Source organism: Homo sapiens, chromosome X, assembly GCF_000001405.40.
Source record: "Homo sapiens chromosome X, GRCh38.p14 Primary Assembly".
Taxonomy (NCBI): Eukaryota; Metazoa; Chordata; class Mammalia; order Primates; family Hominidae; genus Homo; species Homo sapiens.
The window spans coordinates 5,714,812-5,726,888 of record NC_000023.11 but is presented as its reverse complement, the minus strand read 5'-3'; the positions used below and the strand labels follow the sequence as shown (position 1 = coordinate 5,726,888).

The following is a 12,077-nucleotide window of genomic DNA, read 5'->3' as shown; positions in this document are numbered from 1 at the left end:
AGAAGATGAAACCGACACTGCAAAGTTGTAACTGAGATGGTGACAGGCATCTGACCTGACCAACTCCATCTTGCTTCTAACCTCCAGACTGTCCTTGTTGACTCCTGGGCTTAGGCTGAACTAACTTTGGGGAGGAATTTAGTTTATATAGTTTATAGTTTAAAACAAAGATGATAACAGCCCTTTGCCAAAACAGAGCTCCTTCTTGCCTGGGGACTAGACTGCCTTTGTAGGACTAACAAATTAGCCACAAGATTGGAAATTATGGTGTAGGAGTCATGCAGCTGGAGGCTACAGGATTCTGACCCTCCCTAAACTGCTCCTAAGATCAGCGCTTAGTATTATTTTGCAGACTCTGCACTTGATGAATCAGCTGGCACCACCCAGATGGATAAACTGTCTCATCTGATCTTGTCGTCCCCCCCCAGGAACTGACTCAGTGCAAAAGGACAGTTTCAATTCCCTATGATTTTATCTCCGACCCAACCAGTCAGCACTCTTGACACACTGGCCTTCCCCCACCCACCAAATTATTCTTAAAAATCCTGATCCCTGAATGCTCAGGGAGACTGATTTGAGTAATAATAAAACTACTGTCTCCCACACAGCCGGCTCTGCATGAATTGCTCTTTATTGCAATTCCCCTGTCTTGAGAAATCGCTTCTGTCTAGGCAGCGGGCAAGGTGAGCCCATTGGGCAGTTACAAGGAGACACGGAGACACAGAGACACAAAGACAGACACACAAAAAAGAGACTGTCATGTGAAAAGACAGACACACAGAGAGAACATCGTAAGAAGACAGAGGAGGAGATTGGAGAGAAGCAACTGTAAGCCAAGGAACACCAAAGACTGCAGGAAACCCCAAAAACTAGGAACAGGGCATGGAACAGATTCTACCCATATTCTCAGGAAGAGTCCCTGCCAACACCTGGAATTCAAGCTTCTGGATTCCAGATCTGTGAGTGAATACATGTCTGTTGTTCCCAGCTATCCACAGTCGCAGGAATCTAATTCAGTCATTATTTGTTTGTCTTTCCCCATATTTCTATGTCCCATGGTTGAATCTTTGTCATCGATTTCCATTTTCTGATTCATTATCTCTCTGGCTACTTTTCTTTTTTCCACTTGTGATTTCTTTTCCCTGCTTCCTCCCTAACTGGCAAGACACAGAGTCAATTGGGAAGAGGGAGAAGGACATGAAGAACCCTCTGGTTTTCTCCCTGCATAGCCCATGTGCTAGAGAGGACATGAATCTACACCTTTCCTTCCTGCAGGGAGTTGAGTGGATTCCATAGGTATAATATGTTCTTTTTTCTTTCTTTCTTTCTTTCTTTCTTTCTTTCTTTTTTTTTTTTTTTTGAGACAGAGTCTTGCTCTGTGGCCCAGGCTAGAGTGCAGTGGCATGATCTTGGCTCACTGCAACCTCCGCCTCCTGGGTTCAAGCGATTCTCCTTGCCTCAGCCTCCTGAGTAGCTGGGATTACAGGTGCACACCACCATACCTGGATAATTTTTGTTTTTTTAGTAGAGACAGAGTTTCACCATGTTGGCCAGGCTGGTCTCAAACTCCTGACCTGAAGTGATCCACTTGCCTCAGCCTCCCAAAGTGCTGGGATTACGGGCATAAGCCACAGGACCAAACCTCAGAAAATACATTATACTAGTAAAGCAATACTCAAAACCCATTTTCCTGTCCTTGTTAGCAATGTGATGTCTCACTTTCCTGTCCTAGCTCCTCGGATTTGCAAAACAAATTTCTATATTTTATCATGATGTTATGCAAATTATGACCATGATTTTCCTCTCACTCAGAGAGCTTAAGAAATGCTTTTTCTACCTGCATTCAAACAGTGTGTATATATTGAAGTGTATGTACTGAAGAACATACAGTAGTTATTTTGCACATTGAGACTGGAAACTAGCTTTTTCTATGCATTTTCATTTTTGTTTAAAGGAGGTTATGTGAGCTCAGTGGTTATTGAACTCATTAAGTCCTTCCCATCCAGCACAGAGATTAAAGGGTAAATATTTTTGTCCATGCTCACTGTAATAGTACTCATAAGTGTGTCTGCTGGAGCCAGTAACTTCATCAATTAAAACTTAAGTTTGCTTTAAACATATCATTTGAGACTCAACATAGATTAATAGGTTAAAAAAAGCACAATAACCATAATAATTAGAACAACTGTAGTAACGCATGCTTTAATCCCTCATGACGTTGTCATTTAGTATCTCACATCAAAGAAAAATTATATTGTCTCATTGCAGCTTTAAATTATTTCTTCAAATATTTTATAATAAAAGAGCGCATTTTGTCCAAAAGTTTTGTGCCTGAGAGGACTACAAGTGACTTTCAAAGTTATGACCGAAGAGATCAAAAGAAAATGTTCAATATATACATGTATACTCTGGCAAAAACCCAATACATACATATAATTCTTGCAACAATCATTGAAATCCATAGACATGTTTTTGAAGAATGTTGACAGTATTTTATTTGCATGTTGTTGTATGAATTGTACGCATGGAACTTGCCTTTTGACTAGCTCTTCTCTGACGTAAATGCTGACACTGACAATTTGTTTTTCCTACAATTTCTAGGTGAGTGCTTCTCAAAATTTAACATGCATATGAATCATCTAGGGATTTTGTTAAAATACAAGTCCTGCCTGGATTGTTCAGGGGTGAGGTGCACGGAATCTGCATTTCTAATGAACTCTGAGGTTGAGCTGATGTAGCTGCAAGGATTCGATCTGCAGATCTACAGTGTCCAATATGGTAGCCACTAGCCACGTGTGGTTAATTAAATTTAATAAATTTAAGGTAAATTAAAAATCCAGTCCCTTACTTTCAACAGCTGCATATCAGTTGTCAACAGCCAAGTGTGGCTTGTGGTTACTCTATTACAAAGCTCAGATATACAATATTTTCATCATTGCAGAAAGTTCTATCGGAAAACTCTGTTCTTCAAGATGGGAGAAGAAAGAGCAAATTCTGTTTCTGAAAGGAATAGTATATTGATGTTTTTCAATATGGTGACATAATTCTGAAAGTAAAAATATTTTCAAAAGCATTTTCCGACGGTTTTCTAGTGATGTTTAAGGAATTACTACAATTTATAAAATATAGGAGAGCACAGTTGAATCAAGATCAAGAATTTCTTTATCTGAGAACTGATACTCATTGTATTTTTTTAATAGTCACTTTTGAAATATCAACCATATATATATCTAGAGACTTCATTTCAATCAAGCAAATGTGCTTAGAAGATGACCTTTCCATGCAAGATAAGTTAAATGTGGTGGCATCATAATACTGTATGTTTTATTATTTCTGTATTCTTCAGTTTAATGCAAAGTGGAAAAAATGATGGCTTTTTTTCTAAAACTCAATAAAGTGTTATTAAGTGAGCCCTTGAAGGCATTTATTAAACTGTTATAAGCCAGGGTGCTGGGGCAGCAAAACGGCAGGATATTGGTTTCCAGGGTCTAACTTTGTATTCCTGAACTAACTTAATTTGTGTGTTTTATGGACTTGATGTTCAAGAGAAAGTATCAGATTTCATAGAAAAAAGTGACCATATCTTTCAGTTCTCAATGGCCATTTCTCATGCATTTTGAATAAGTGCTAGTCATCTAAAAATCAACAAAGTGCCTTAGGATAGGAGGCTATTGGTAGAGACTCAGGGGTAGGTCCCTGAAGAAGTGTCAACATCACTTCAGAATGAGGTAAAATGAAATGTATTTTCTCTACTCACCCTCATTCTTTCAGTTTCCTAGATACCTACTCATCTCTTATTCATCAAGTGGTACCTTTTAGGAAAATTTTAACTATCTTTCTGTTACGCAAGATCTATCTTGAAAATAAGGAAGGAGGCGCAATGTTAGGAAATAAAGTAATGAAGTGGCTCACCTGTGTAATCCCAGTATTTTGAGAGGATGAGGCTGGAGGATCCCTTGAGCCCAGGAGTTTGAGATGAGCCTGGGCAACATAGCAAGACCGTATCTCTACCAAAAATAAAAAAAATTAGCTGGGCATGGTGGCTTGTAGCATGTAGTCCCAGCTACTTAGGAGGATGAGGTAGAAGAAACACTTGAGCCCGGGAGATCAAGGCTGTGGTGAGCTTGATCACACCACTGCACTACAACCTGGATGACAGAGTGAGACCCTGTCTAAAAAAAAAAAATTATTTAGATGAAGCATGTGGCTGTTTCCCTGAGAAGTGCCTGTCTGTTAAATCATGAGTTGATTGTAGGAAGAATGTCTTCTTCCTCCGAATATGATCAATTATCATAATATACTCCAACAAAATGAAGACAATATTTTAAAGAAATGCTAACAAAATATTTATTGTGAACTGTGTTAACTTATTGAAATATTTATGGTCTCACAATTTTAGTAAACTACTTTTAAAAAATTCTCATCTCTTTTCTATTTCACATTCTATTTGGTAAACATTCTTGCATACATAATATGCCTTTTACATGCTATATTATATGTAATTCATCATGCCTTTTGTGTATTAGAAAACTCACCATTAACATCTGTTCATCATTTCTCTCCATCGTAGTTTCAGTTAAATACATTTTTAAAAGCACTTGTCTCAAGTCTAATTGTAGTGCTTTTGTTTTGTTTGTTTGTTTTTTGAGACAGGGCCTCTCTCTGTCACTCAGGCTGGGGTGCGGTGGCATGATCACAGCTCACTGCAATCTCTGCCTCCCAGGCTCAAGCAATCCTCCCATCTCAGCCTCCTGAGTAGCTGGGACCACAGGTGTGTGCCACCACACTCGGCTAATTTTTTTGCATTTTTAGTAAAGACGGAGTTTTGCCATGTTTCCCAGGCTGGTCTCGAACTCCTGAGCTCAAGAGATCCACCCACCTTGGCCTCCCAAAGTGCTGGGTTTACCGGCATGAGCCACCATGCCTGGCCTAACCGCAGTGTATTATTGAAATGTTAAAATATGGTTGTCTATTAATCCCTCTTTCTCTCCCTCTCCCTCTCTCTTTCTCTTTCTTTTTGTCTCCCTCTCTCTTTCATGTAAATAGTCTTCAAAAATATTGTCCATAATACATGTGGATTGCCAATATTCCCAGTGGTGATTGTTAAAAATGATGGTGTGTATGTTAAAGAGTCTTACCAGGGGAATTTTGTGAAACTAAAATTTGAAATCCACTATCTCCATGCAAAGTTTAAGGACCAGATTTTGACTGAGCTATTGAGTGTGAATCAGCCACCAGTTAACTTTTCTTTCATTGTATTTTACTTGGCTCTTTACCATATCAGCTGTTTCCTGGGCTCTTATCTTTGAAGCCAATTGCATGACCAGTGATTAAAAATATATTTTTTAATTCAACTTTGATGTTTGGAGACCATTTATTTGCTAGTTTTCACTCCAAACAATGCTCTTTGTTTTCCTCTGTGAATTCTGACATTTGCAATTTTTATTAAAGAAAGCTACATTGAAATCAGAAAATGTATGCAGTAAGTAACTCTTGGGCCTCCTTATAAGGAATATTTTTAAAGATCTGAATTATCAAAGTAAAATAAATGTCCAAGAGAATGATGTTTTACAGAAGTCCCAAAAACTGGTACCTTGATTTCAGTACAATGAAAGATATCTGAATATATGTCAATAGGATCGCCTTTATTTCCCTCATCTCAAAGTTTAAATGCCTGTCACTCAAATTGACAGTTTGCATCTTAAGTCTGATGGCTGACTTATGACTCTGTGCATGTGAAAATTAGCGTGTTCAGAATCTTTAGTTTTTAGTGAATACAGCAGGTCATGCAAATAATAGTTCAGCTCAACATTCCAATTATGTCAATATGCTTACTTCTCTAAATTAATTACTTAAGGTGGCATCTGTTATAAACATAATACTTCAATTTTGTGGTCATGAGAAGGGATGCAGCTTTAATGTACACAAGAAATTTACAAGTTTATTATAAACTTTTCCCCACCTGGAAATGCATGGAAGTGGTTAGCTACTTATGAAACATTCTGATGATGTGTGAATGAGGGCAGACATGGTATATATGAAGGCTTTTTAATTGCTTTGGGTTTAATCTTGATGATAACCCAACTTAAATGCAGTAATCTTTTACCGCATAGCTTCTTCGAAATGTGTGCAGAACAATCTTTTGACATACATAAGTAGCAAATATTCACAAAACATCATCATGCATTTATTAAGATACAGTGTTTCTTCCCACGTGATACTGTCTACATATAGGTTTCATTTCTATCAATATGGCAAATTTCTCAGACAATTCCAACAGCTGTATAGACTTGTTAAACAGATTAAAGGGTCTATAATCCATGGTACCAAATGGTCTTATGGAGCCACATTGGAAGAAATTAGTTGAACTTGACAAAAACATTGTTCATCAGATTTAAAGATGATGGTTAAAAACAAAACAAAACAAAACAAAAAAAGAGTCAATGAATCTGAAATGTATGAATCCCTTTCTGGGGCCAACAAGAAGATAATATTTCAAATGGAAACCTGCCTAGAGAAGGTAGGATACCTACATCTCCTTCACAGGATACTGGCTTTAAAAGCAATGGAGCCATTCTGAATATTTGGAAGGAAAAGTTTAAGTTCCAGTGCACTGAGATTGGCTGTTACAGAGGTGTTTCTGATGTTGAGAGATTCCCATTTTAGAGAACCCTTAGATTAAGATGGTGGGAATCTTTAATGATTATTCCCACCTCTACTGTTTATTGACTGCTCTTTAAGAAAGTGGGCCTGTCGTGGCGTGGGGGAAGGGGGGAGGGATAGCGTTAGGAGAAATACCTAATGTAAATGATGAGTTAATGGGGCAGCACACCAACATGGCACTTATATACATAGGTAACAAACCTGCACGATGTGCACATGTACCCTAGAACTTAAAGTATAATAATAATAATAAAGAAAGAAAGAAAGTGTCGTTAGACTCTTAAGAGAAATCTTGTAGGGTAAATGATGTTTGCTTCAATCTCATAGCATCAACTCTCTTTCTCCCTTTTCAGAAAAAACCTGGGCTTAGATAATGATTACGCCAAACCACTGGATTCAAGAAAAAGCTCGTCATGCCCAACTATTGCATGACAGTATGTGAGAGCCAACCGACTAAAGATATTTTAGGAGAATAAAATATTTGGAGAGCATTGGAGTAAGGACTGTCATTCCTGGAATGGAAGCATTTAATTAAAATGACCATAAGCCTGAAGTGACTGGGGCATGGGAATATCCTTGATGAGAAGATAGTGAAGCATGTAACACCCTGGGATAGATGGTGCTGATGGAACATTTTGAGGAGACCCAAGTTGTTGGTGGAGGTGATGGGAGACTCAGGACAACAGAAAGTATGGGATTTTCAATGCTGCAGAAATGGGGCTGATATGGTTTGGCTCTGTCCCCACCCAAATATCACCTTGAACTGTAGCTCCCATAATTCCCATGTGTGGTGGGAGGGACCCAGTGGGAGGTAATTGAATCATGGGGGCTGGTTTCTCCCATGCTATTCTCATGATAGTGAGTAAGTCTCACGAGATCTGATGGTTTTATAAAGGGGAGTTTCCCTACACAAATTCTGTCTTGCCTGCTGCCATGTAAGACGTGACTTTGCTCCTTATTCACCTTCTGCTGCGATTGTGATGCCACCCCCAGCCATGAGTGAGCCAAACTCACTGTTACTGTGAGTCAATTAAACCTCTTTCCTTTATAAATTACTCAGTCTCAGATATGTCTTTATTAGTAGCATGAGAACGGACTAATACAGGGGCTCTGTTCTGACTAGGACAGAAATTTAACACTTGGCATCACAGAATGGCCCCAACCTGAGCTAGCAGTGGGTGAATGGTCAGCTCACAGTACAAGCTGCTTTTGGTAAACGTCTTGCAGACTGCAACCAGCCTAAAGCTAAAATCACAGTAAATAAGCATGAGCGGATATAAAAGAGAGATGATAGATTTGTGATTTGTTGACATAACCACCAGGACATCTGTATCACAAGTGAAAATTATAGCCTGATTCCCAGATGCTGACCGCCATGCAGGGAAAGGCCTAGCAATGCAGTGAATTCCTAATTCATTTATTAGCTTTGATGACTTTTCATGGACTGGGAAGGAAATCCCTAAAACATATGGATCTTATATCCTCTTGTGAAGAATGTTGGTTTCACAAGGCAGAAGGAAAAGAAAGAGCTAGTAGGAGAGCAACATATGAGGTGGCTTCTTTCTCTTATATGAAATTTGTGGATATTATTTTCAACTAAGACCTAGAATCTGCACCATCATCTTCCCTTATCACCAGCCACAGACCCACCAACCCGCTCACTCTTACACACACTTAAGGACAAAAATAAACAACAGATACTCTGTTGCTTCCAGATGCACTCTGGTCTCATTCAAAAATCTCTGTATGTTCCTGCATTTTGGAAGCCAAAATGACCTCAGTACCAATCTATCCATTTATGAGTCATGTTTCCATAACTCATGCAATTCAAAGTTTGAAAACACAGAGACTCAAACAATTAAGGCAAAAATGATTTTTTTATTTCAATTTTTATTTTAGGTTCAAGTGTTCCATGTGCAAGTGTGTGACATGATTTTATGTGTGGTGTTGAGGTTTGGGGTCCAAATGATCCCACCACTCACATATTGAGCATAGTACCCAAAAGGTAGTTTCTCAGTCCTTGCCCTCCTCCCTCTTCCCCCCTCGAGTAGTCCCCAGTGTTTATTGTTCCCACATTTACGTCCATGAATACTCATGTTTAGCTCTCACTTACAAGTGACATGTGGTATTTGCTTTTCTGTTCCTGCATTAATTCTCTTAGCATAATGGCCTCCAGCTGCATTTATTTTGCTGCAGAGGACACAATTCAATTCTTTTTTATGGCTGCATAGTATTCCATGGAGCCCATGTACCACATTTTCTTTATCCAGTCTACCGTTGATGGGTACCTAAGTTGATTCCATGTCTTTGCTATTGTGAGTATTGCTGTGATGACCATGCAAGTGCATGTGTCTTTTTGATAGAACAATTTTTTGGGGGAGGGGGGGTGGTATATATCCAGTAATGGGATTACAGAGTCAAATGGTAGTTCTGTTTTAAGTTTTTTGAGAAATCTCCAAACTGCTTTCCATAGTGGCTGAACTATTTTACCTTCCCACCAGTAGTGTATAAGTGTTCCCTTTTCTCTACATCCTCACCAACATCTGTTGTTTTTCAATTTTTTAATAATAGCCATTCTGACTGGTGTCAGATGATTTTTTAAAAAATATGTGTCATTTTCTCTTTCAAGTGTGAGATAGAAATTAACAGCTACCTCAGGCACACGTACTTGGATAAAATAAGCCTTGGGAAGAACTTGTTATGCCTGGCTATTTCCTGCTAGAATAAGTACAGTTTCTAAAGCTAATTTGTCAAATACATCAAGAAAAGCATTGCAACTCTCATTAGCACGACTAGTTTTTACAAAATCAATATTTCATTGTTATGTGGTGTTTCCTTAGCTCCATTTCTTCTTAATTGCATACATTCAGAAATTTAGTTGAATTTGGTTCATTTCCAAATCCCATGGTTTTGATAGCCTTTTCTTGGATGTGTTTGTTTATTTTAGTTATAACAAGAATATAATCTCATAATAGAAAATTTAAAAATAAACTTACTTTACAAATATTTTTATCTATATGTCTATCATCTATCTTTTTCGGGTTTTAAGTTGTGCAACTTAAATATGCTTCACTTTTCTATACTATATTTTCTCTCAATATATGACATTTCCCACATTTATAAATGTGCATTCCTCTTACTTATTTCCTTTGCTAGCCCATGTATTGTTTATAAGAGGAGGCAAGAATTAAACTATTTGCAGTATTTTGGCATAATAAAAAATGCTACCACCAACACATTTTTGCTACAAATTTTTCAGTATTTCAGAAGGAATACTTAGTCTACTTACTCAGTAATTCAATTGCCAGATTAAAGGGTGTGAATAGTTTCTTGGCTTATTCAAATTGACAAACTGTTTTTGCCAAATCTGTGCTACTTTACTAGTTCATGAATATGGCAGGAAGAGTTGCCCAGCACTCATGCCAGGCAGGGATAATGCAATCCGCATGAAATTAATGGAAGACATAGGGGAACATGGTTTAAACCCTGAATATGTTTACTATTAGCAAGGATATTTATTTTTCCTTAAGTCTTAATGATTGTTTACTTGCTGAACGATATTGCTCATTTACTGGATATGTTAGTCTTGATATCTGAGTATTTTTCCCAACAGAATTTCAAAGGGCTGTATATAAGATAATTTTATAACTTACTTGTTTCTAGTGTTTTACTTCCAACCTCTTATTTATTCCATATTTTACTTTCCATTTTTAATTGAATTAGGAAATATTTTAATATCTAAAACCCTGAAACCCATTCATACTTAACAGATGTGAATGCATGAACCCATAGTTATTTCAGACCCCTCTTTTTCTAAAAATATAGATATTTACATATTTTATATATATTCTTACTAATTTGAGAAACATTTGAACATAAAGAGTAAAAAGATTGTATAGATTTTTAACACAACAGATTGTATTCTGTAATGTAAAGTGTGTTCAGCATTCACAAATCAATTAATGTGACTCAATAGTTTAACATATTGAAAGGCCTATTGAGATATAATTGATATAGGACACATATTCAAGGCCTTCAAAATGATTAATTTGTAGATATACCCATACGTGTGTGTGTGTGTGTGACAACATCGTGATGATAAAGATTATAAACATAGCCATCACCTCCAAATGTTTTCTTGGGTTTTTGCCTGCTACATCTAGCAGACTCCAATCCCTTTCCTTAGGCAAACAATTATCTGTTTTCTGTCTCTGTAAATTGGTATGCATTTCCTATAATTTTGTATAAATGGAATCATATAGTACTTGCTCTCTCTCTCTCTCTTTGCAATCTGTCATTTTTTAACTCAGCATAATTATTTTAAGATCCACTTAAGTGTTTGCTTGTATCAATACTTTGTTTCTTCTTATTGTGAAGTAGTATTCAATTGTATGATGACATAATCATGCATTTATTCATTTGCTTCCTGATGGATATTTGTGTTGTTTTCAGTTAGAGGTTACCATAAAAAATATCTATGATCATTTGCATCCCACTATTTGTAGGCATGAGTACTTTCATTTCTTGGGGGTAAATGCTGAAAGTAAAAGATTGCTTCATAGGGTAGATGTATGCTTCACTTTTTTTTATTATTATACTTTAAGTTCTGGGGTACATATGCAGAACGTGCAGTTTTGTTACATAGATATACACATGCCATGGTGGTTTACTGCACCCATCAACCCATCATCTACATTAGGTATTTCTCCTAATGCTATCCCTCCCCTAGCCCCACACCCTCTGACAGGCCCTGGTGTGTGATGTTCCCCTCCCTGTATCCATGAGTTCTCATTGTTCAACTCCCACTTACAAGTGAAAACGTGCGCTGTTTGGTTTTCTGTTCCTGTGTTAGTCTGCTGAGAATGATGGTTTCCAGCTTCATCCATGTCCCTGCAAAGGACATGAAGTCATCCTTTTTATGGCTGCATAGTATTCCATGGTGTATATGTGCCACATTTTCTTAATCCAGTCTATCATTGTTGGACATTTGGCTTCGTTCCAAGTCTTTTCTATTGAGAATAGTGCCACAATAAAAATACGCGTGCATGTGTCTTTATAGCTGAATGATTTATAATCTTTTGATATACCCAGTAATGGGATTGCTGGGTCAAATGGTATTTCTGGTTCTAGATCCCTGAGGAATCGCCACACTGTCTTCCATAATGGTTGAACTAATTTACACTCCCACCAACAGTGTAAAAGTGTTTCTATTTCTCCACATCCTCTCCCGTATCTGTTGTTTCCTCACTTTTTAATGATTGCCATTCTAAATGGATTGAGATGGTATCTCACTGTGTTTTTGATTTGCATCTCTCTAATGACCAGTGATGATGAGCTTTTTTTCATATGTTTGTTGACTGCATAAATGTCTTCTTTTGAGAAGTGTCTGTTCATATCCTTCACCCACTTTTGAA

The 12,077-nt window shown here is 37.5% G+C and overlaps 1 long non-coding RNA gene across 1 annotated transcript; it reads left to right on the top strand.

The window, feature by feature from the left end:
* The first annotated feature begins 694 nt into the window (after positions 1-694).
* On the top strand, positions 695-7,718 carry LINC03070 (long intergenic non-protein coding RNA 3070). Its single transcript, XR_247295.4, has 2 exons — positions 695-959; positions 7,017-7,718. It is a non-coding gene; the product is annotated as a long intergenic non-protein coding RNA 3070 (long non-coding RNA).
* The last annotated feature ends 4,359 nt before the right edge of the window (positions 7,719-12,077 follow it).